Source organism: Homo sapiens, chromosome 11, assembly GCF_000001405.40.
Source record: "Homo sapiens chromosome 11, GRCh38.p14 Primary Assembly".
NCBI classification, from domain to species: Eukaryota; Metazoa; Chordata; class Mammalia; order Primates; family Hominidae; genus Homo; species Homo sapiens.
In genome coordinates, this window is record NC_000011.10 from 67,216,820 (window position 1) to 67,242,157 (window position 25,338).

At 43.5% G+C, this 25,338-nt stretch overlaps 1 protein-coding gene and 1 non-coding gene across 9 annotated transcripts in view, besides 4 other annotated features; both read left to right on the top strand.

Annotated features, from left to right (window-relative positions):
* The window catches only part of KDM2A (lysine demethylase 2A), a 138,820-nt gene that overhangs the window by 97,557 nt on the left and 15,925 nt on the right, over window positions 1-25,338 (top strand). For 6 of the 8 annotated variants that reach the window (NR_027473.2, NM_012308.3, XM_017017391.2 and 3 more), the window contains 4 exons: window positions 912-1,065; window positions 2,469-2,584; window positions 11,218-11,344; window positions 14,747-15,141. Coding sequence is in view for 7 of the 8 variants with exons in the window: in NM_012308.3 (NP_036440.1) it covers window positions 912-1,065; window positions 2,469-2,584; window positions 11,218-11,344; window positions 14,747-15,141 (792 nt within the window). In the remaining variant the exon portion in view is untranslated. Of the gene's footprint in view, window positions 1-911; window positions 1,066-2,468; window positions 2,585-11,217; window positions 11,345-14,746; window positions 15,142-23,194; window positions 23,551-25,338 lie in introns of those variants that run through there. The other 2 variants (XM_011544861.2, NM_001256405.2) reach the window with 2 other exon arrangements.
* On the top strand, window positions 4,089-4,197 carry LOC124902839 (small nucleolar RNA U13). Its single transcript, XR_007063022.1, has one exon. It is a non-coding gene; the product is annotated as a small nucleolar RNA U13 (small nucleolar RNA).
* Window positions 5,439-6,318: an enhancer, noted in NCBI's record as "NANOG-H3K27ac hESC enhancer chr11:66989729-66990608 (GRCh37/hg19 assembly coordinates)". NCBI's record gives its function as "activates a minimal SCP1, AML or CMV promoter by ChIP-STARR-seq in primed H9 embryonic stem cells {active_cell/tissue: H9 hESC(primed)}" and the evidence as "EXISTENCE:reporter gene assay evidence [ECO:0000049][PMID:30033119]".
* Window positions 23,223-23,282: an enhancer, noted in NCBI's record as "active region_5073". NCBI's record gives its function as "activates an Ori minimal core promoter by ATAC-STARR-seq in GM12878 lymphoblastoid cells {active_cell/tissue: GM12878}" and the evidence as "EXISTENCE:reporter gene assay evidence [ECO:0000049][PMID:35858748]".
* Window positions 23,473-23,552: an enhancer, noted in NCBI's record as "active region_5074". NCBI's record gives its function as "activates an Ori minimal core promoter by ATAC-STARR-seq in GM12878 lymphoblastoid cells {active_cell/tissue: GM12878}" and the evidence as "EXISTENCE:reporter gene assay evidence [ECO:0000049][PMID:35858748]".
* Window positions 24,133-24,302: an enhancer, noted in NCBI's record as "active region_5075". NCBI's record gives its function as "activates an Ori minimal core promoter by ATAC-STARR-seq in GM12878 lymphoblastoid cells {active_cell/tissue: GM12878}" and the evidence as "EXISTENCE:reporter gene assay evidence [ECO:0000049][PMID:35858748]".

A 25,338-nucleotide genomic window follows, 5' to 3' on the forward strand; every position in this document is an offset into this window, starting at 1 on the left:
TGAGGCAGGAGAATCGCTTGAACCCACAAGGTGGAGGTTGCGGTGAGCTGAGATCGCGCCATTGCACTCTAGCCTGGGCAACAAGAGCAAAACTCTGTCTCAAAAAAGAAACAAACAACAACAACAAAAAAACATGAGGTCTTGTCCGGGCACAGTGGCTCACGCCTGTAATCCAACACTTTGGGAGGCCAAGGTGGGTGGATCATAAGGTCAGGAGATCGAGAACATCTTGGCCAACATGGTGAAACCCCGTCTCTACTAAAAATACAAAAATTAGCTGGGTGTGGTGGCGCACGCCTGTAGTCCCAGCAACTCTGGAGGCTGAGGCAGGAGAATCGCTTGAACCCAGGAGGTGGAGGTTACGGTGAGCCAAGATTGTGCCACTGCACTCCAGCCTGGACTACAAGAGTGAAACTCTGTCAAAAAAAAAAAAAAAAAAAAAAAGTCTTAATCAGAACAACTATGTCTCCAAATCCAAAAGTCATTTTGTTTGCTTCAGATCCCTTTAAGCCCTGTTGATCTTAGTTACTACCTTGGACAAAACAACCTGAGCCAGTCTCTTGAAGATACTGTGCCTAATTAACTGTACTACTTAGGACTCTGGAAGCCAGACAGAGTGTTTAAGGGACTGCCTAGGTAATGAGCTGAATGGTCCCTCTTCTCTCCGAGTCCTGGATGGTGTATAGTCAAACCCAAGGGAAGCCTTAATGCTGTTGGATCAAGTGAAGGATAAGAAAGATCTACTGCCTTGGACCTTCTAGGGTTTACCACATAGTCAAGTTCTATAGGCTGGGAAAATTGCTTGCCTTTCTTCTACCTGGTGGTCTTAATTTTGTACCTGTTTATCAGTTGAGGGAGACGACTGGGTCATGTCAATGGCTGTTAACAGACTAAAGTTTTTTAACTCACAGGTCTTCTGGCTCATCCCCCCTACAGCCCACAACCTGGAGCTGTACGAGAATTGGCTGCTGTCAGGGAAACAGGGAGACATCTTTCTGGGTGACCGGGTATCAGATTGTCAGCGCATTGAGCTCAAGCAGGGCTATACCTTCGTCATTCCCTCAGGTAAGCAAAATGGGAAGAGTGGGTTATTTAGCCATTTTTTTCCTTAATGAAAAAGAAATTGATGGATTACCACCAAGAATAGTTATGATGCTGGGCGTCTGCAGAAAACAACAGTGTTTCTTCCTGTCATTATGGAATAGATGCTGAGGTTTTGTTTGTTTTGTTTTCAGTTTGAAAAGGCAGTGGTTTTCCAATAAAGTATATGAGAATTGCCAGCAGAGGCTTTTCAGGTATACACGTTTGGGCTCTGCATTAGCCCTAGTAATTTAGAATCTCTATAGATAGGACCTGTTCTGCAGGTGATACACAATCTATGTTGAAGAACTGCCTACTATTCTAGGGAATGGCTGTGAAGGCTGGAGTGCTCAGTCAGGGATGTTTTTGATCAAGTCATTAAATCAAAGTAAGTGCTTATAAAGATCACAGATTTTGGAGTCACAGACCTCTATTAGGATTCTGACTATGCATTTACCTGCTAGATACTACGCTTAGAGCAAATATTTAAATCTGTGTCTCATTTTGTTATAAGGAATATAAATGAGAACACATGTAAACCAAGCTTATCCAACCTGCAGGCCACAGGCCTCATGCAGCCCAGGATGGCTTTGAATGTGGCCTAACACAAATTCATAAGCCTTCTTAAAACATTATGAGATTTTTTTTTTTGCAATTATTTAAGCTTGTCAGCTGTCATTAGTATTAGTATATTTTATTTTATTTATTTATTTATTTATTTTGAGATGGAGTCTTGCTCTGTAGCCTCAGGCTGGAGTGCAGTAGCGTGATCTTGGCTCACTGCAACCTCCACCTCCCAGGTCCCAGTTCAAGCAATTCTCCTGTCTCAGCCTCCCGAGTAGCTGGGATTACAGGTGTGCACCACCATGCCCAGCTAATTTTTGTATTTTTACTAGAGACGGGGTTTCACCATGTTGGCCAGGCTGGTCTTGAACTCCTGACCTCGTGATCCACCCGCCTCAGCCTCCCAGAGTGCTGGGATTATAGGCGTGAGCCCCCGCGCCAGGTCATGTTAGCGTATTTTATGTGTTGCCCAAGCAATTCTTCTTCCAGTGTGGCCCAGGGAAGCCAAAAGATTGGACACCCCTGAATTGTAAACTATCTTGTACAGAGCCTGGTTTATAGTTGGTGCTCCAGTAAACGTTTATTATGTGCTAAGCATTTGATGTGCATTTTCTCATTTAATGCTCATGAGCAACCATAAGAGGTATTATTTATCCTGGTTTTATAGAGGAAATTGAGGCTTTGAGAGATTAAGTAACTTGACAAACCACTAAGAAGCAGAATCAGAGTGAAGAGTGTGATCTAGGGGTCTTGTACTAGTTCTCTGAGAGAGACTTACTGTAATGTGTGTTTTCAGCCACTGCCCTCTGTTCCCCTTCTCCTAGGCTGGATTCATGCTGTGTATACTCCTACAGACACATTAGTGTTTGGGGGCAATTTTTTGCATAGCTTCAACATCCCTATGCAGTTAAAAATATACAACATTGAAGATCGGACACGGGTAAGTAATCTTATGTAACAGTTGCATGTGAAGAGGTTTACTCCAGTTATGATAGATGTTACAAGAGATTCACTGATGGTTTATCAAAACTTCCATTTTTCTTTCAGTTAAAATGCAGTGTTGACATTTTGGGAACACACAAAATTTTAAATTTAATTTTTTTTTTTTTAAGGCAGAATCTTGTTCTGTTTTCCAGGCTAGAGTGCAGTGGCGTGATCATGGATGATTGCAGCCTCAACCTCCCAGGCTCAAGCATCTTCCTGCCTCAGCCTCCCAAGTAGCTGGGACCGTGGGTGCACACCACATCTGACTAATTTTTAATTTTTTTCGTAGAGACTTGGTCTCACTGCGTTGCCCAGGCTGGTCTAGAACTCCTGGTTCAAGCAGTCCTCCCACCTCAGCCTCCCAAAGTGCTGGGATTACAGGTGTGAGCCACTGCGACTGGCCAAATAAAAATTTTAACACGATTTACATACTCCGTTTTAGGGACTCCAATTCTGTGAGGTTTTTGGTATCTTGGATTTCTTTTTCTTTCCTTTTTTTAAAATTTTATTTTATTTTATTTTATTTTTTAGCCAACACCATAGTGAATGGGAAAAAGTAACATTTTTTTCTTTTAATATTTGGGACAGAGTCTCACTCTGTTGCCCAGGCTGGTGTGCAGTGTCACAGTCATGGCTCACTGCAGCCTCAACCTCCCTGGGCTCAGTTGATCCTCCCACCTCAGCCTCCCAGGTAGCTGGGACTACAGGCACACGCCACCACATGCAGCTAATTTTTTTGTATTTTTTGGAGATGGGTTTTTGCTGTGTTGCCCAGGCTTGTCTTGAACTCCTGGGCTCAAGTGATCTGCCCGCTTTGGCCTCCTAAAGTGCTGGGATTACAAGTGTGAGCTACTGCATCCCACAGTATCTTGGATTTTTATAAGGCCAGACATTTACCTCTGGTAATCTCTTGAGCCATGTGTTTCATTTTTATGCTCACAGAATAATTTGGTGTAATGGGGCTTATCAACCCAAATTTCAGAACTTTAAATTCATGTATCTTTTTCTACACTGATGACTATACTCAAAGCATCTTACTTTAATTATATAAATGTATATACTGTCTTTCTCAACTGGGGTTTCAAGAGAGAATTAAGCCCAAAATAAAATAATTTGTGTATCTTATTTTCTCATTTTTCTCTAGGATGATACACAGCTAATACCCTTCTAGATGCATAGAAAAAAGTTAATTTATTATATACAATGGATACCTTAAGGCAAGAGTTGACAAACTTTTCCTGCAAAGGACCAGATAGTAAATATTTTAGGCTTCGTGGGTCATAAAGTGTCTATTGTAACTGTTTAACCCTACCTTGTAGCATGAAATACTTAAACAAATGAGTGTGGCTCAAATAATATAAAATTTTATTCATAGACACTGAAAGTTGAATTTCAGATAACTTTAACATGTCACAGAATACTCTTAAATTTTTTTCAACCATTAAAAAATGTAAAAAACGATCCTTTTATATAGTTCATGATCATGATTAGGTGTTCATGCACGTATGTGAAAGATGCCACCCTTGAACCTTGTTACTATTAATACGTCAGCACATTACCTGTCTGACCCGAAAAAAAAAAAAAAAGGTAAAAAACACTCCTAGTTCACAGGAATCATAAAAAGAGGCAGCAGGCCAAATCCACTAAGTGTTGTTTGCTGGCTAGCCTCCACCTTAGAGAATGAGAGCTTATTTTTTAGCAGAATTCTAATTGGTAAGGGCTGAATCATATATGAAAGTATAGATGATACTGGGATTAAACAGCAATTAGAATATTTGGGGGTTGTGATGTTTGTAAGTTACTCTCAAGTAGCTTAGCAGAATACTAAGCTAGTATGGAGATGAGCAGATGTGGAGAAATGTTAACAGTTGGAGAATTGCAGAGAAGAGTGTAGAACTATTAATGCTACTGCTCTTGAAACTTTTTGGTAGAATTAAAAGTATTAAAAATTTTAAAATAACAATTAATGAAGAATTCACAACTTTTATATGAATGGTCTTTTATATATTATAGGAATGGTCACTGACCTATGTACTGCAATAATAGTCAACCATTATGGTGCCTATTTTGCAACATTTATTTTGGTGTAGGAGTTACGTATCACTATACACATCATTGATATTATTGTTGGAGTTACAGGAATTGCCCTACTAGTAGAATTAAGAGAGGAAGCCAGTGCTTCTTCAACACATTTTATAAAAGTACATTTCTTTTTATTTGTTAAGAGTAACAAAAGTACAGTTCAGGCACAGGGGCTCATACCTGTAATTCCAACCCTTTGAGAGCCCAAAGTGGGAGGATTATGTGAAGCAAGGAGTTTGAGACTCTCCTGGGCAACAAAGCCGGGTGTGGTGGTGCATGCCTGTAATCCTAGCTACTGGGGAGGCTGAGGTGAGAGGATTGCTTGAACCTAGGAGTTCCAGGTTGCAGTGAGCTATGTTGGTGCCACTGTACTCCAGCCTGGGTGGAAGAGTGAGACACAGTCTGTTAATTTAAAAAAAAAAAAGATGTCTATTCTAAAATAGGTAAATATTCTAAAATAGGGAAAATGTTTCAAAAGAAAAAAAATGTATAATTCCATAGTAAAATACTCCTGTTTAACTCTGTCATTCTTTTTTTTTTTTTTTTTTTTAATTTATTTTTTTATTGATAATTCTTGGGTGTTTCTCACAGAGGGGGATTTGGCAGGGTCATGGGACAATAGTGGAGGGAAGGTCAGCAGATAAACAAGTGAACAAAGGTCTCTGGTTTTCCTAGGCAGAGGACCCTGCGGCCTTCCGCAGTGTTTGTGTCCCTGATTACTTGAGATTAGGGATTGGTGATGACTCTTAACGAGCATGCTGCCTTCAAGCATCTGTTTAACAAAGCACATCTTGCACCGCCCTTAATCCATTTAACCCTGAGTGGACACAGCACATGTTTCAGAGAGCACAGGGTTGGGGGTAAGGTCACAGATCAACAGGATCCCAAGGCAGAGGAATTTTTCTTAGTGCAGAACAAAATGAAAAGTCTCCCATGTCTACTTCTTTCTACACAGACACGGCAACCATCCGATTTCTCAATCTTTTCCCCACCTTTCCTGCCTTTCTATTCCACAAAGCCGCCATTGTCATCCTGGCCCGTTCTCAATGAGCTGTTGGGCACACCTCCCAGACGGGGTGGTGGCCGGGCAGAGGGGCTCCTCACTTCCCAGTAGGGGCGGCCGGGCAGAGGCGCCCCTCAAAACTCTGTCATTCTTAGAGGTAATTATGTACCCATTCTAAGATTCAGTCTGAAAATTGGTTTTTAGAATGTGTTCCCTTTTTATGGTTAAAGATGACTCTTACACCTGGGTCTTATACACTGGTTCAGTTTCAGGGAAGAAAAGGAAAATACATATTCAGTAACATAAAGTGAGTACCTTATCCCCTGCATGAAGAGTTTTCTACGTAAAGAGAAGAAAAATAAGGGGGAAAAAAAAAAAAGGCCAGGCACAGTGGCTCACACCTGTAATCCCAACACTTTGGGAGGCTAGGCAGGCAGATTACCTGAGGTCAGGAAGTTGAGACCAGCGTGAGCAACATGAAGAAACCCTGTCTCTACTAAAAATACAAAATTAGCCAGGCGTGGTGGCACATGCCTGTAATCCCAGCTACTCAGGAGGCTGAGGCAGGAAAATCGCTTGAACCTGGGAGGCGGAGGTTGCAGTGAGCCAAGATCGTGCCATTGCACTCCAGCCTGGGCGACAAGAATGAAACTCCATCTCAAAAAAAAAAAAAAAAAATTATTTCCAAAAAATGCTAACCCAGTCTTAGAAATTGATATGCGGCATAAGTAAAAAGCAATGGGGTCAGGTTGGGTATGTGGTATCTCTTGGCTATAATTAATACAGTCTTATAAGTTACGAGTAAAAACTCAAAATTTTAATGCCTGTATTTCATATTTTCTTCCTTTTTTCTTTCTTATTTATTTATTTATTTATTTATTTATTTTTGACACAGGGTCTCACTCTGTCACCCAGGCTGGAGTGCAGTAGCATGATCTCAGCTCATTGCAGCCTCAACCTCGTAGGCTCAAGTGATCCTTCTGCCTCAGCCTCCTGAGTAGCTGGGACCACAGACGCACACCACCACACCTGGCTAGTTTTTTTATTTTTATTTTTTTGTAGAAACGAGGTTTTACTATGCTGCCCAGGCTCGTCTCAAACTCCTGGGCTCAAGCAGTCCTCCAGCCTCAGGCCCCCAAAGCCTTGGGACCACGGGCATGAGCCACTATGCCCAGACTCTTCTTTTTTTTAAACTGTCATTATTACTCAGCTTTCAACTGATTTCCAGAGGGCTTTAGAATTTGGAGTTGTCCTGAACTCCTAATAAAAACCCTTCCAGAAAGTGTTGCTATACTTAAAAGGCTAATGGAGAGGCGTAGTGTATTATATTTAATTTTGAGGGACCAAATACCTATTGGTTGTTGTCTCTCTCCTCTGTCTCCCTTAGTCAGAAATAAATTAATTTTACTTCCGTGTAAGAGAGTCATTCTTTTAGTTGTTAAAAGTTTTAGCCACATAAGAAACCAGAATCAGGGTCTGGCTACTATGCATTAGAAAACTGATTGGGGCTAACTATGAAAAGTACATCTCCTCTCCTGCCTTGCCATGGGGAGAGTGATCTCCTTATTCCCCAGTGATGCCCTGTGGCCTGGTGAAGGTTTTTGAAAAGGGACTCCTATCCAGTTCTCCGTGATTCAGGAACACTACCCGATATAGAGTTTGTAAACGGGTAGGTGAAGTCATCCCTACAATATGGGAGGAGATGGGAACATTCTCAGGAGCTGCATATTCAAAACAGTATCATTTGGCTTATCCTTTTGAAATATGGCCTCTCTAAAAGAAAGCTGTATGGCCAGATATGGTGGTTCATGCCTATAATCCCAAGTACTTTTTGGGAGTTTGAAGCGAAGGATCACTTAATCCCAGGAGTTTAAGACCAGCCTGGACAACATAGTGAGACCCTGTCCGTACCAAAAATTAACCCCTTTCTTTTTTTTTTTTTTTTTTTTTTGAGACAGAGTCTCGCTCTGTCCCCCAGGCTGGAGTGCAGTGGTGCGATCTCAGCTCACTCTGCAAGCTCCGCCTCCTGGGTTCACACCATTCTCCTGCCTCAGCCTCCCGAGTAGCTGGGGCTACAGGCACCCGCCACCAAGCCCGGCCAATTTTTATATTTTTAGTAGAGATGGGGTTTCACTGTGTTAGCCAGGATGGCCTTGATCTCCTGACCTCATGATCCACCCACCTCAGCCTCCCAAAGTGCTGGGATTGCAGGCTTGAGCTATCTTGTCCGGCCAAAATTAATCCCTTTCTCATTTTCCCCAATGATACTCACCAGGGGCACTTGGCAGCTGCAGCATTTTTTTTTTTTTTTTTTTTTTTTTTTTTGGAGACAGAGTTTCGCTGCTGTTGTCCAAGCTGGAGTGCAGTGGTGTGATCTCAGCTCACTGCAACCTCCACCTCCCAGGTTCAAACAATTCTCCTGCCCAGGCATCCCGAGTAGCTGGGATTACAGGTATGCACCACCACGCTAATTTTTGTATTTCTAGTAGAGACGGGGTTTCAGCAGGCTGGTCTCGAACTCTTGACCTCAGGTGATCCACTTGCCTTGGCCTCCCAAAGCGCTGGGATTACAGGTGTGAGCCATCACGCCCGGCGGCTGCAGCATTTACCCCAAGATAACTTTGCCACGAACTATCTCGCTTTTATTATTTTCACATCACTCTAGTATACTGACTTTGAAAACAAAAGATATCATTCTATTTATAGCATTCTGTTTTTAGTAGTGGTATTTCTACTTACAAAATATAGTTATTCTTGATTGCTGAAAATGTCAAATCCTAGAAAACATAGCATTCCTATGCGTGATGTTAACATCATTCTTGGGCAGGCGTGGTGGCTTATGCCTGTAATGCCAGCACTTTGGGAGGCTGAGGCGGGCGAATCACTGGAGTTCAGGAGTTCGAGACCAACCTGGCCAACATGGTGAAACCCCGTCTCTACTAAAAATACAACAATTGGCCAGTCACGCTGGCTCACGCCTGTAATCCCAGCACTTTGGGAGGCCGAGGTGGGTGGATCACCTGACGTTGGGAGTTCGAAACCAGTCTGACCAACATGGAGAAGGCGTGTTTCTACTAAAAATACAAAATTAGCCAGGTGTGGTGGCGCATGCCTGTAATCCCAGCTACTCGGGAGGCTGAGGCAGGAAAATCGCTTGAACTCAGAGGCACAGGTTGCGGTGAGCCGAGATCACACCACTGGACTCTAGCCTGGGCAATAAGCACAAAACTCTGTCTCTAAATAAATAAATAGCTGGGCACGGTGGCTCATGCCTGTAATCCCAGCACTTTGGGAGGCTGAGGCAGGTGGATCACCTGAGGTCAGGAGTTCGAGACCAGCCTGGCCAAGATGGTGAAACCCCGTCTCTACTAAAAACATAAAAATTAGCTGGTCATGGTGGTGCACACCTGTAATCCCAGCTACTTGGGAGGCTGAGGCAGGAGAATCGCTTGAACCCAGGAGGTGGAGGTTGCAGTGAGCCAAGATTGCACCATTGCAGTCCAGCCTGGGCAACAAGAACAAAACTGTGTCAAAAAAGAGTAAAAATAAATAAATAAATAAATTTAAAATAACAATTAGCCAGGTGTAGGGGCACACACCTATAATCCCAGCTGCTCAGGAGGCTGAGGCAGGAGAATTGCTTGAACCCAGGAGGTGGAGGTTGCAGTGAGCCGAGATCCCACCACTGCACACTAGCCTTGGTGACAGAGCGAGATTCCATCTCAAAAAAAAAATAATAATATATCATTCATGAACAGTTGTTGGCCAGAGATTCATTTGATGGATCTGATTTTTCTGAAATAGACAATCCTGATGATTCAGACCATCCTGCTGTTAGTTTTGTTTAGAAATAACTCCAAAGACAGTTTTTATATTTTATGTTCACCTTGAAAATCAATCAGATTTCCAGCCAGGCGCAGTGGCTCACGCCTGTAATCCCAGAACTTTGGGAGGCCAAGGCGGGCAGATCACGAGGTCAGGAGATCGAGACCATCCTGGCTAACATGGTGAAACCCCGTCTCTACTAAAAATACAAAAAATTAGCCGGGCGTGGTGGCGGGCGCTTGTAGTACCAGCTACTCAGGAGGCTGAGGCAGGAGAATGGTGTGAACCCGGGAGGTGGAGCTTGCAGTGAGCCGAGATCGCGCCACTGCACTCCAGCCTGGGCAACAGAGCAAGACTCCGTCTCAAAAAACAAACGAAAATCAATCAGATTTCCTTCAGCATCAAAGAGCATGTTTATGTAAAATTAAATGAGCACTGGCCGCGAGCTGCTCTTTTATTTTCTAAAAGGGAAATGGGTTAATAAATTAGCCAGGTGTGGTGGCATACACTTGTAATCTCGGCTACTGGGGAGGCTTTGGTGGGAGGATGATAGCCTGGGTGAAAGAGCAAGACCCTGTCTCTAAAAGTTAAAAAAAAATGGTTTCAAAAAAAGGCAACAAAATATATTTAGGATAGTCCCCATCATTGGTCTTCCTCACTGATTAATCTGTGCTGATTTGTCCTTTCCTGGACTGTGATATATCTAAAGAGTACCTTTTAAAATTAGTATCCAGCTGAAATAATAATGAAAATGCTCTTTTGGGAAGAATGGAAAGAAAATAAAGACAGTGATTGATTAAGTCGTATGGAACATTAATCTGGTTTGTGGACATACCATTTTGGCAGACTACAAAGTATGAGGCAGGCAAGCTGAGCATCGATAGTGGAGAAAATACCCAACCTGGTGCCCCTAGACTAGACACGGTCTGAGAGTGAGTCTCTAGTCAAACTTTAGTATTTGTAATAGCCTAATATGAACATGTCACTTCATCTCATGTCCTGTTTTTCCATGAGATTCTTTGTTCCATGGCCTTCTGATTCAGGGGCAAATATAGTAAAGCAAGAGTACTTTGCATGCCTTTTTTTCAAGTATTTTGTGTCTTACTCTTACATTTTACTCTGTCCCAGAACCGAAACTTTCATTGTTTTGATGCTTTCCCACTCAACCAAGACAGCTTCTTGGTGGTTCTAAATGGTCTTCCTCAAGTACCTTTTTTTGTTGTTGTTGTTCAGACGGAGTCTCACTCTGTAGCCCAGACTGGAGTGCAGAGGCGTGATCTCAGTTCACTGCAACCTCCGCCTCCCAGGATCAAGTGATTCTCATTCCTCAGCCTCCCGAGTAGCTGGGATTACAAGGTGTGCACCACCACACCTGGCTAATTTTTGTATTTTTAGTAGAGGTAGGGTTTCACCATGTTGGTCAGGCTGGTCGCGAACTCCTGACCTCAAGTGATCCACCCGTCTGGGCCTCCCAAGTACCCTTTATCTTCAGTGATTGTTTCTCAAGACCAACGTTTTCTAAGTTGATGGTTCTGCTTAAGTTTTTGCTTCAGATGCCAAGCTGGGTTTGCAGGTTGACTGGTGAGAGTATTTCCTGGGTTAATGATTACAGTAATTCCATTTGTTGTACTCTCTTTCCTTGAAAATCGTCATCTTTTCTCTATTTTATTCCTCTGTAGGTTCCAAATAAGTTTCGCTATCCATTCTACTATGAGATGTGTTGGTATGTGTTGGAGCGCTATGTGTACTGCATAACCAACCGTTCCCACCTAACTAAGGAATTTCAGAAAGAGTCCCTCAGCATGGGTAAGTATTCTGCCTATAGGAGCTTTGAAGACACCGCTTAGGTCTGAGGGTGAGGCCCGAAATACTCAGTAGGCTGTCACTCAATATGTTCTTGGTTTTTTAATTCATCTACTTGGAAGTACCAAATTCATCACTGGAATTGAATACCAGTTACCTACCCAGATGTGAGTTAATGGCCAAATGAAATACTCTGGATCTGATCTTTGTCTGAGTTGCTATTACTTAGCTCCTCAAGAAGGATGATCAAGCCGGACACGCTGGTTCACGCCTGTAATCCTAGCACTTTGGGAGGCCAAGGTGGGCGAATGGCTTGAGCCCAGGAGTTAAGACCAGCCTGGGAAACATGGCAAAACCCCATCTCTACAGAAACTACAGAAAATTGGGTAGGCATGGTGGCTCGAGTCCCAGCTGCTCAGGAGGCTGAGGTGGGAGGATCACTGGAACCCAGGAGGTTGAGGCTGCAGTGAGCCGAAGATCATGCCACTGCACTCTAGCCTGGGCGACAGAGTGAAACCCTGTTGCGAAAAAAAAAAAAAAAAAGAAAGAAAGAACGATGATCAGTTGTCTAATATGCTTTTTGTTTTTGTTTTAGAGACAGGGCCTTGCCCTGTCGTCCAAGTTGAATTGCAGTGGCGTGATCATAGCTCACTGTAACCTCAAACTCCTGGGCTCAAGCAATCCCCCTCCTGAGTAACTAGGATTACAAGCACACACCACTATGCCCAGCTAATTCTTACTTTCTGTAGAGATGAAGTCTTGCTCTGTTGCCCAGGCCGGTCTTAAACTCCTGGCTTCAAGCTGTCCTCCTGCCTCCACCTCCCAAATTGGAATTACAGGTGTGAGCCACCACTCCTGGCCCGGTTGTCTAATGCGTTTTATTGTATAAAGAATGGTCTTTGGCACAATAAAAACTAGGAATACATCATCAGAATAACCTGTTGTATTCTAGGCACTATACTAAGCAATTTACATTTATGAAATTCTTATTATTACCTGAGAGATAGGTATTATTATCCTCATTTTACAAATGGGAACATTAAGGTTCAAGGATATTTAAAAACTTGTCCATGATCTTAAAGTTAATAAGTGACAAAGCTACAGCTTTTAGAGTCTGACCAGCTTGGTTCAGCTTCACAGCTTAAACCAGGTTGGTCAGACTCTGCAGTTTATGCTCTTTATCTCTGTGCTTTCAAGTTTCCCCAACATCTATCAGAGAAATATTTTAATTAGATGACAGTGTAGTTTCAGTATACATTTTTAGACTCTTATATGTCTGAAACTGGTGAGGACTCAACACCATAATATCCTGGGATCACATGTTCTTATGGAATCTTTAATCCAAGCAAGATATTTTTTGCTTTAGCATTTTACTTTTACTGCATAATTTTACTCATAGTTTATATTCTCAGTTGAAAATAAAAAATGGGCCTGGCACGGTGGCTCACACCTGTAATCCCAGCACTTTGGGAGGCTGAGGCGGGCGGATCATGAGGTCAGGAGTTCGAGACCAGCCAGGCCAATATGGTGAAACCCTGTCTCTACTAAAAAATACAGAAATTAGCCAGGCGTGGTGTTGCGCACCTGTAGTACCAGGTACTCGGGAGGCTGTGGCAGGAGAATCACTTGAACCCGGGAGGTGGAGGTTGCAGTGAGCCGAGATCACGCCACTGCACTCCAGCTTGGGCGACAGAGTGAGACTCCGTCTCAAAAAGAAAAAAAAAAATACATCTAGGCCGGGTGTGGTGGCTCACACCTGTAATCCCAGCACTTTGGGAGGCCGAGGAGGGCCAATCACGAGGTCAGGAGATCGAGACCATCCTGGCTAACATGGTGAAACCCCGTCTCTACTAAAAATACAAAAAATTAGCTAGACGTGGTGGCAGGCACCTGTAGTCCCAGCTATTTGGGAGGCTGAGGCAGAAGAATGGCGTGAACCCAGAAGGTGGAGCTTGCAGTGAGCTGAGATGGCACCACTGCACTCCAGCCTGGGTGACAGAGCGAGACTCCGTCTCAAAAAAAAAAAAAAATACATCTAATAGAGCTAGGCACTGTGATGAGCACCTGTAGTCCCAGCTAGTTGGGAGGCTAAGGCAGGAGGATCACTTGAGTCCAAGAGTTCAAGACCAGCTTAGGCAACATAGTGACACCCCCATCTCAAAAAGTAACCAACAAAACACATATAGACCAGGCATGGTGGCTCATGCCTGTGATCTCAGTACTTTAGGAAACCAAGGTGGAAGGCACACCTAAGTCCAAGAGGTTGAGACCAGCCTGGGCAACATGACCAGACCCTGTCTACAAAAATTTTTTAAATTAGCTGAGTGTTGGGGCACATGCCTCTGGTCCCAGCTGTTTGGGAGGCTATTGTGGGAGGATTGCTTGAGCCCAGGAGGTTGAGGCTGCAGTGAGCCATGATTGCATCACTGCACTCCAGCCTGGGCAAAAGAGTGAGAACCTGTCTCAAAACAAACAAACCACAACATAAAAAAAAAAAACCCACATAATAATCATACACATCTGTTAAAGCATGGAAAGAAAGTATATTGTACTGTTCAGTTGTTATCGTAGGATGGAGGGATAAGGGATGACTTATTTACCGCTTTGCGCCTTCTTGCATTTTCTAAATTATAAAAGAAAAGACTGGTGAACATTTATCACTGTGTTTTGACTATCAAAATCTTCCTTTTCAAAAATAGTCACTTTGTTTTGTTACTTATGTTGTTAGAATTTCAACTCCAAAGCTTGATTTTAAGACCAAAACTTCAGACAAAAAAAAAAAGTTTTTTGGTTTTTTTTTGTTTGTTTTTTTTTGAGACAGGGTCTCACTCTCTTGCCCAGGCTGGAGTGCAGTAATATGATCGCAGCTCACTGCAGCCTCAACCTCCCAGGCTCAAGCAGTCTTCCCACCTCACCCTCCCTAGTATCTGGGACCACAGTCATGCATCACTATACCCAGCTAATTTTTTTAATGTAGAGATGGGGTCTCACTATGTTGCCCAGGCTAAAACTATTTTTTAAACATACATGCTTCTTAGTGTCTTCTCTTTTAAAAGGTAATGAAATAATAATCCCAGATTCAAGCTTTAACTTGAAACTGACTTTACAACCACTTTGATAAGTAACTGATTTCTAGTACACAGTTCAAAGACTAGGTCCTACCCAAACTTTAAAAAATCCAATTGACTATTACCTAGGTGTCCTCCTAGGTCAGGATCCTGTTTCTACCTGTTAACTGTGATTTTGAACAGTGGACAAATGGGTTGGAATAAAGATAGACCATTTTTTTAAATGTGGTAATTTTGTCATTTATAGCCTCAAGGCCCCTATCATGCCACCTATTTCTCTTGCTGATCACATGGCAGAGTGAAATGTTCTTACTGCATTTTTTCTTCATATTGGTAGATTTGGAGTTAAATGGGTTGGAGTCTGGGAATGGGGATGAGGAAGCAGTGGATCGAGAACCCCGACGCTTGAGCAGCAGGCGTTCTGTCCTCACTAGCCCTGTAGCGAATGGAGTCAACCTGGATTATGATGGACTGGGCAAAACCTGCCGAAGTCTTCCAAGTCTGAAGAAAACTTTGGCTGGGGACTCATCTTCTGACTGTAGCCGGGGCTCCCACAATGGACAAGTGTGGGATCCCCAGTGTGCTCCCCGAAAGGACAGGCAAGTGCATCTGACCCATTTTGAGCTTGAAGGCCTTCGCTGCCTTGTAGATAAGTTGGAGTCTCTGCCACTGCACAAGAAATGTGTCCCCACAGGGATAGAAGATGAAGATGCTCTCATTGCTGATGTAAAGGTAAGGGTTTGATGTGTTACATGACAGCTACTGATCCAGCTATGGCAGTCAGCTTCCAGATTCAGAGGGAGAAAATATAGGAATTTTGGGTGATCTCTGGTTCAGTCAGAGAGAAGTTAATATGCATGTGTGTTTGTTATTGCTGCTCAGTGTTTTCATTACTAGAATGAGGTTATGTCCCTGTTTTGAAAATACTAACATTTATGTGTTCATTGAAGACTTATAAATTTAGTCTTAAACATAGGTTTCAGGCTGACCCCAAAAATAAAGTGACCCAAAGAAAATATTTATATAAGAAATGTTACATTAAACTTAAGTTACCTTGAGATAAAACTCAGGACAAAAGTGACTGATAGGAGTCTCATCCTAAGCAGATTGAGAGAAATGAAATTGTTCTATGCTGGGTTAACGTTGAGTAGCTTTAGCCTCTTTAGATTCAAATTTATCTAGCATCAAGACTTAAATACATTGGGAAAAGCATCATTTTAAAATAATTCATCCCATTGCTTTATCAAGTTTTATGTTTATTTATTTTTTAATTATACTTTAAGTTCTAGGGTACATGTGCACAACGTGCAGGTTTATTACATAGACATACATGTGCCATGTCAGTTTGCTGCACCCATTGACTCGTCATTTATGTTAGGTATTTCTCCTAATGCTATCCCTCCTCCAGCTCCCCTTCATATTGTATATTTTTCTTAAGGAATCCAGACTTGAGCTTTTTTTTTTTTTTTTAATTTTAATTAATTAATTAATTTATTTGAGACGGAGTCTCACTCTGTCGCTCAGGTTGGAGTGCAATGGCAAGATCTCGGCTCACTGCAACCTCCACCTCCCGGGTTCAAGCAGTTCTCGTGCCTCAGCCTCCTGAGTAGCTGAGATTACAGACACGTGCCACCATGCCTGGCTAATTTTTTTATATTTTTGATAGAGATGGGGTTTCACCATGTTGGCCAGGCTGGTCTCGAACTCTTGACCTCAGGTGATCTGCCTGCCTCAGCCTCCCAAAGTGCTGGGATTACGGGCATGAGCCTCCACACCCAACCTTGAGCTATCTAAACTGGAGGAAATTATTTTAAGTCTTTCCTCCTAAGTAACAATTAATGTGAAGACCAAGAATTGTAAAGCTGGAAATAGCAATTTTATTTTTAAATCAGTGTTTGGAACAATGGGTATGTATATTAGAAAGCTAATCTACAAGTTGTAATGTTATTTTGAAAACCTCACATAGATTATTTTAAGCTACTTTTAAGCCATTTTATAAATTTAGGGGGGCCAGGCACAGTGGCTCACACCTGTAATCCTAGCACTTTGAGAGGCCAAGGTGGGAGGATCACCTGAGGTCAGGAGTTCGAGACCAGCCTGGCCAACATGGTGAAACCCCATCTCTACTAAAAATACAAAAAAAGGCTCAGTGCGATGTCTCATGCCTGTAATCCCAGCACTTTGGGAGGCCGAGGCAGGTAGATCACGAGGTCAGGAGTTCAAGATCAGCCTGGCCAAGATGGTAAAACCCCGTCTCTACTAAAAATACAAAAATTAGCTGGGTGTGGTGGCAGACACCTGTAATCCCAGCTACTCAGGAGGCTGAGGCAGGAGAATCCCTTGAACCTGGGAGGCAAAGGTTGCAGTGAGCCGAGATTGCGCCATTGCACTCCAGCCTGGGTGATGGAAGTGAAACCCTGTCTCAACAACAACAACAACAAATCCATTGGAGTAGTTTAACTAAAGTAGCTAAATAAGGAGATTTGAGGTGAAAGGGTGGTACAATGGTATACCAAAGGAAAAAGTAGAAAGATTTGGGTTAAATATTAAGCAGAGTCAGCAAGAAGAGAGGGGAGTTAAGAAGAGACATCTAAAGAGGAGGCTTAGCATTATGAAAAGTGTCCGGAGATAGCTTGCTTGTGTTTATCAGGGACCACTGAAAAACGTGACTGCCATCACTGGCTAAGATATAGTGGCAGAGGCCAGAGCATGAGGAACAAGTAGCCAGTGAGATGACTACACAGGCCGACAGTGTTTGAATTCTCCCTCCAGAGACTTGTCCACAGCTTCTCGTTTACCCAAAACCACAGTCAAAATGTAGCTGACGTCAGAAGACAACAGATTTAGATTCCAGCTCTGCAGGTGTAGTTTCACTTAAGATCAAATAGATTAATTATTCCTATATTTGATCAGTTATGCTAAATCTCAGAAAAGATATAGCAAGCTTAGAGCTTGAATACCTTGAGAATCTAAGCATCACTCAAAAGAAAAAAGCATTAGATTGGGTAGCTGCTGAATCACTGCACAGCTGGGGACTTTCAAGTGCTAGAAAACTTGGTGCTTATAGCACTGATGGCTATACTTCAGTGGGGGACAAAGCTAGTACAGTTTACCCTTCCTGCAGAGAAAGGAATTGTTTGCTGTTGTAACCTATCTGGCTTTCAGGAATAATTAGTAGAAGAGATGAGGGGAAAAGTGGTAGATGAGATATTCATAATATTCCAAGGAAAAATAGTGCATTTCAGTGCTGTGATAAAAGGGCTTTTTTTAGGTTCTAAGGCGTTGAAGAACAAGTCATAGAATATAGAGTTGGAAGAGGATTAAGTGAAAAAATAGGACATTAAAAAGTACTGACTTGGGCTGAGCCCAGTGGCTCACACCTCTTGTCCTAGTGCTTTAGGCGGCAGACGCAGGCAGATCTCTTGAGACCAGCCTGGGCAACGTGGCGAAACCTCACCTCCACAAAAATACAAAATTATCCAGGTGTGGTGGTGTGTGTTTGTGATCCCAGCTACGTGGAAGGCTGAAGTGGGAGGATCACTTGAGCTGGGCAAGTTGAGGCTTCACTGAGCTGTGATCTCACCACTGCACTCCAGTCTGGGCAAAAGAGTGAGACCTTGTCTCAAAAAGAAAGTAGGCCGGGCATGGTGGCTCATGCCTGTAGTCCCAGCACTTTGGGAAGCTGAGGCGGGCGGATCATGAGGTCAGGAGATCAAGACCATCCTTGCTAACATGGTGAAACCCCGTCTCTAGAAAAAATACAAAAATTAGCCAGGTGTCTTGGCGGGCGCCTGTATTCCCAGCTACTTGGGAGGCTGAGGCAGGAGAATGGCGTGAACCCGGGAGGCGGAGCTTGCAGTGAGCCCAGATGGCACCACTGCACTCCAGCCTGGGTGACAGAGCAAGACTCCATCTCAAAAAAAAAAAAAAAAGAAAAAAGAAAGGAAGTATTGCCTTACCGGTAAACTGGTAAAGCTATCAGCGTGTGTATGAGGTTCTGTTTGGGAGGGGTTGTGGGTAATGTTGACTCTTGAAAGTGTACATAGGTAGAATAGGGTTTTCCTACTATGAGAATTTTTTTTTTTTTTTTTTTGAGACTGAGTTTCACTGTTTTTGCCCAGGCTGGAGTGCAATGGCGCAGTCTTGGCTCACCACAACCTCCACCTCCCAGGTTCAAGCAATTCTCCTGCCTCAGCCTCCCGAGTAGCTGGGATTACAGGCATGCACCACCACCCTGGCTAATTTTGTATTTTTAGTAGAGACTGGGCTTCTTCATGTTGTTCAGGCTGGTCTTGAACTCCTGACCTCAGATGATCCACCCGCCTCTGCCTCCCAAAGTGCTGGAATTACAGGCGTGACACCGCGCCCGGCTGCTTTTTTGTTTTGTTTTGTTTTGTTTTGTTTTGTTTTTGAGACAGAGTCTTGCTCTGTCACCTAGGCTGGGGTGCAGTGGCGCCATCTCGGCTCACTGCAGCCTCCACCTCCTGGGTTCAAGTGATTCTCCTGTCTCAGCCTCTGAGTAACTGGGTCTACAGGCACGCACCACCACTCCAGCTAATTTTTGTATTTTTAGTAGAGACGGGGTTTCACCATGTTGGCCAGGCTGGTCTTGAACTCCTGACCTTGCGATCCACCTGCCTTGGCCTCCCAAAGTGCTGGGATTACAGGCGTGAGCCACTGCGCCCGGCCAAGATATCCTTAACATTTCTAAAATTGGAAAGTTGTATTCTTGATATATGTTGAATAAAAAGGTAGGACATGTAACAGTATGTATAGTACCATCCCATTAATGTAAGAAAAAGTGTATGCGTATTTGTGCATTGCAGAGGAATCTAAAAGGGTACATCCCAGCCTGCTAATAGCAGGGCACAATAGGATAGTAGTAGTCAACTGGAAGAATTTGTGGTTTTTTTGTTTTTTGAGATGAAGTCTTGCTCTGTCACCCAGGCCGAAGTGCAGTGGCGTGATCTAGGCTCACTGCAGCCTCCGCCTGTCGGGTTCAAGTGATTCTCCTGCCTCAGCCTCCTGAGTAGCTGGGATTATAGGTGTGTGCCACCACGCCTGGCTAATTTTTGTATTTTCAGTAGAGATGGAGTTTTACCATGTTGGCCAGGCTGGTCTTGACTCCTGACCTCAAGTGATCTGCCTGTCTAGGCCTCCCAGAGTGCTAGGATTATAGGCATGAGCCACCACGCCCAGCCACAATTTGAGTTTTTAATCAGATTGTTGTTTTTGTTGGTATTTATTTTGGTGATAAAGTAGTTCTTAATATATATGCATATATAAAAGAAGCTTTTTATATAACAATATATCTGGCGGCCCAGCTCACTTAATAAAGCAAATTCAATATTGTTGAATACTTTTCGACTTTCCTGTTTTCTCTAAACATTTTGATAAGCCTGCCAATCATACTTTGTGACTTTTGGGTAAGTTACTAAATTTATGGAAACCTATTTTCTCCTCTATAAAATATCTGTGAGATTGTTGTTAAAATTAACAAGATTAGTAAAATACTTAATAAGCAGTGCATTATTACAGCCAGAAAAAAGTTAGATGTTACAAATCTATGAAATTCACTTATTCCACCGCTCTGAATAATGCCTGCCTGCTCTGTGTCAGGAATCAGATTGAATGTTAAGGAAACTATGCAGACATGCCGTGGTCCTAGCCCTCAAGAGCCTTAGAGTTCAGTGGCAAAGCAGATATAAAAGTGGGCTAAGAAATAGGAAATAAGTGCAGTCCAGGTTTGTAGGTGCCTGGCATGACACAGGGCACAGAGAAAATGAGTGAGAGTGGCAGAGTCTATCCTGAGGGAAAGAGATGTTCCAGTCTTAATTCACCAGCTAATAAACTTTCCTGTTATAGGATATAAATTTATTACTACAACATTATATAAATGGTAAAAACTCTGAATTTATAAATTGGAAAATTGTTATTTGTGATGTAATAGGCTACTGATACTCTTATCTAAGAATCTTAACATTTTATTTTGGAACTATGATCTAAAAATTTATGTTAGGCCCCATCCCAGGAGTATGATGAGATTGAAGCAGAAAGGGTTATTGTTGCAAATAACTCCAGAAATACTAATTAGGAATTCTCTTCAGTTGATAATTTGGGGGTTATTCTGACACTAATAGAACTAGAAGAAGACCCAGTATAGTTAGCTCTTATTCCATTAAGCCAGATTTTTAAATGTTTTTAAATTTTTCTTTATTATTATTATTATCATTATTATTATTATTAGCAACGAGGTCTTGCTGTGTTGACCAGGCTGGTCTTGAATCTTGAACTCCTTGCCTTGAGCAATCCTCCTGCCTCGACCTCCCAAGTGCTAGGATTACAGGCATGAGCCACCTTACCCAACCAACTCAGCTTTTTGTTTGTTTGTTTGTCCTGGGTCCAGGCTTACAGATTTTTTTTTGTAAAGCAACCTAGGCCAGATGTGTTAGCTCATGCCTATAATTCCAGCACTTTGGGAGGCTGAAGCAGGAGGATCACTTAAGGCCAGGAGTTCAAGACCAGCCTGGGCAACATAGTGAGACTCCATCTTCAAAAAAATTAAGAAATTAGCTGAGCATGGTATTGTGCACCTGTAGTCCCAGCTACTCAGGAGGCTGAGGTCTAGGCTGTAGTAAGCTGTCATCTACCACTGCACTTTAGCCTGGGCAACAAAGCGAGACCCTGTCTGAAAAAAAAAAAAATTTATATCCTGTTATAGGATATATTTATTTATACAAATAAAACTTTATTTGCAATATTTACTAACAAGATATTTGTAATAATTCATACATTCTTACTGAATAGAAAGTTTTAAGTAATGTAACTCAGTTATGAGGCATATATGCTTAAAGTTACATATAATTATTTTAAATATTTTCCTTATATTCTTGTATTATGTAATGTCATGGTCTTAGTAATTCTTATCTTTTTTGCCTATCTTTTATTCTCAATTAGCAGGAGGGGGTAAAGTTAGGCCTTGTTTAATTTGTGATTTGGAAACTTACTGGGAGTGAGTTTCCTAGTGCCCGATGTGATTTTTTTCCTTTCCTGGTGGCCTCTAGAATTTGCACTTGCTGCAACTTGAACTTACGTTTGTTTTAAAGTAATATGTTTTCTCTTAAGTATTCATACTTTACTATCTCTATAATATAGATAGCACTGAAGATCAAAATAAGCATTTTCCAAGAAGACCTCTCAATAGCTAGATCACTGTTAAGGAAAGCCTTTCAAACAAAATAAGCCGATTGCAGTGGGTCTTGAGTCTTAAGATACAGTGTCCGGGAGAAGTTTAGGGTTAGGATGACCATATAAGCATTTCCAGGAGAAGCTCAGCCGAGAGCACAAAAGTCTGTCCTTCCCCTGGTAAACTACTATAAAAATAACATATGTAGCCCCTGGCAGCAAAGCTCCAGACTTTAGAAAGCCTAGTTAGCCACTAAATCTGTACCAGAAACTCACTCAAACAACTGTCCTGGAAATAAATAAGAATGCTTAAGAGCTAGATGCTTAAATCAGAGCATCTGCAAAAAAGGCAAGTTATACATTTGTAAGGGTCTAAAAGTCACATAAAAATCACATTGGCTCTAAAAAAGACCCAAACTGTTTCTGCTAAGTATTTGATTCCTACTCAGGTTCTCCCATGCTGATGTTTGGTACACTGTGGATCACTAGAAACTCAACCAGAGTGTGCACCCTCCTTTCCTCCTGTAGACTGAAAGGAGTGTGTGTTCAGTCTGAGCTTCATCCCAGCTGGGGATCCGGGGATCAGGGTTTGTTGTGCAGAGGTGTGAGCAATACTTGTCAGTCCGAGTGGCTGTGAGAAGGCAGTGAGGTGTCTTGACAGGATGCAGGACTGGCTGCTTCATCTGGGGAATATCAAGAATGAGACAGGCAAACAGACTTGAATAGAAATGGAAATCCAAGAGTACAATACTGGTATTCTGAGGGTAGGATAATCTTACAGGCAGAGGAGACTGCTGGAATTGGGAGAATGTGTGTTCCCTGGCTTCCTGCACCTTGTTTAGAGGCAGGAGGGCAAAGTGTGTTGTGCCTCAGTTGTTTGACTTGGTCACGGTGGAACTGCTGCAGGATTGCTGCGCAGACATTTCTAGTACTGTACTGTGGGGGTGGAGTCCTTGTCAGAATCAGAAGCAGGCATCTGTTTTAGATGTAGTTGATGTTAGCCGTATTTTATTGAATATCTCAATATTGGCTGACATGGGCCATTTCTGAAGGTTTTTTGGAACACATAGGCAGATTCTGGATTGTGGGCTGGGAGCAAGTCAGCGAGGGCAGGTGAAGCAGGCAGTGTGCCGGAGAGAGAAGATAACTCAAGAGGAACTCAGCTCCTGTGCCTAGTTCATCCAGAGAGGCGGAACTTTGGGCGACCCCCTCTACTTGCTGAGAGGGGAGAGAGAAGTGTGTGTGCAGTCAGCCAGAGAGCTCTGGCAGTAACAGTGGTAACAGTGAGAGGTGACCCTGAGGGGAAGGGTGTGGACTGAAACAAGGACAAATGTGGGCCAAGGTGCCTAGTGTAGCCCGCAGAATGAGTTAAAGCCTTCCCTTTGGCTGGCGCCTTCAGAAGTCTGCCACCGGGAGCCCTCAGGGGGCTGGCCCTAGGTTCTCCTATTGCAGTGGTGGTGGGAGGGAGACAGGGCGGGGGCTGTGGCTGAGCTCTCCTCCCTGGCAGGGCCTCTTCCAATCGCGAGGAAGAAAGCAGTTGCTGAACACACCCCCTCCCGGCTCTGCAGCAGAACGGCTGGGCCCTCTGCCTGGCTCGCTCACTCTCGCTCGGCTCCCCCTCCTGCCATCTTCCGTTGCAAAGCATTTCTGGGAGCTGCATGTGGGTGACGCAGCAGCATTGTTCGCAGGCACAGGAAGCCGCGGCTGAGCTGAAGGGCTCGAGAAGGAGCCCAGAGCGCTGCACGCTGCTCCCTCTGGGTAGTCTGAAGGGTCAGAGCTGGACTGCCCTGCCCTATGTGCTCTGGGAGATTCCAGAATATTCAAGTAAATCCGGATTTTCCCAGAGGCAGAATATCTAACTCCTTCAGGAGAACTTCCAGTACAGAAAACAAAACAAAGACGCTGGGGAAACTTCACCAAGAGCCTCGGCAGCTCCAGAGCGACGGGAAACGAAAGGTCAGGGGGTCGATCGGCAAACCCTTTCTGGTTTGGGGTGCGTGTAACTATAGGGACTTTTGTCTCAGTGAAGAGGCAGGAGAAACTGCCTGCCGGGCGAGTCCAGGACAATGCTATGTTACTTCGTGTTGCTTGAGCCGTCATTGCACTTGTTCCCTCACCTGGTGGGATGTGCTTTTGAATTGGGTTGGTTGGCTTTTGAGAATCCTTTCCCTCTCTGCCCAGGCACCTTCTGTTCTCTTTCCCTTCCTGTGATCTGTAGGGTGTGGGCTTGTGTTTAAATGTTCTCCCGAATGCCTGGAGCCGAGATAGGCGTCAGCCTTTCCCGCACTCCACCCCCGCTCTCCTATCCCAAACCCCCTCTAGTGAAGGGTGGTGGCTTCTTTATATGGTTTCTTGTAGGGCCTCAGCTGGAGTCTGCCTTTTTTGATGAAAGCAGGGCGTGCTTGGTTGAATGGCCCCAGCAAAATAAGGCTTGGAAGGAAATCTGCATTTCCCTCCACACCCACACATACCCCAGTAACTGAGTCTTGTATGTGTGAACAGCTGCCACCCCCCACACACACACCGACACAGTTTTCCGCCTACCCTTCCCTATTCCCCACAAAAATCTTGCAGGTAGAATTAGACTGCTTTTGGTGAACAGTTAAGTTCCTTTTCTACTCTTGAACAATCGCAGATCTTACTGTGCAGTCTGTTTTGCTGAAAGTGGAAAGTCCCCGTTTGTGGACAGCTCAGTTCACTTCAGCAGAGGAAATGGGCAGAGTCCTACTCTTCGTCAGTGCGAAGTGGGGGAGGGGAGCCATGCACTCCCTAGCACACATTTTGAATGGACCTGAATTTTTCACCCTAGGGAGATTAGGAGCCCATACCAGAGCCTTGTCCCACGTGGCACCACACCCCGCCTCTTCACCCCCACGCTGTATGGTACTAACAGAAAAGGATGCCATAGCAACTTGAAGTAAATAAAACATCCGCAGATGAAATGAGTTTGGGGGAAGGTGAGAGGCATCTGGAGACTTGGCAAAAGGGGATCTTAGTAGAGGAGCTTCTTGGCTATGAGTGAAAGGGTCTTTCTGAGACCCAACTTTGGGATTTGGAGCAGGATCCTTAGGTTAAGAATGAAAATACATAAAAGTCCTGGTCTCCGGGACAGAGCACACAGGATTATGAGAAAAATTATTAGCAATGGCCCAGACTTGCTAACCTGTCCAGGATCAGAGTTTAGTGTTTGCCGAAACAGTTACCATCCTGTACATACATACCTAGGGTAGCCAGAAAAGGAATCATGTAACTTGTCTCCCAGATTTATTTTGCTGTTGGTGTTGCTTTAGGGCTCATAAGGTCAGAAGAAGAAGGATTCCATTATACTAGAAGATTTGGGTTTCAGGAGTTTCTGTCTAAAACGAAAAGATTTGGCCAGGTGCAGTGGCTCATGCCTGTAATCCCAGCACTTTGGGAGGCCGAGGCAAGCGGATCACCTGAGGTCAGGAGTTCGAGACCAGCCTGGCCAACATGGTGAAACTCCGTCTCTACTAAAAATACAAAAATTAGCTGGGTATGGTGGCAGGTGCCTGTAATCCCAGCTACTCAGGAGGCTGAGGCAGGAGAATAGCTTGAACACGGGAGGCGAGGCGGAGGTTGCAGTGAGCCGAGATAGCGCCACTGCACTCCAGCCTGAGCAACAGAGTGAGACTCCATCTAAAAAATAAAAATTAAAAAAAATATATTTGTTTCAAAATAACAGTCAACCAGTGTGATTCACTTAAGTGGCATTTTCTCACTGTA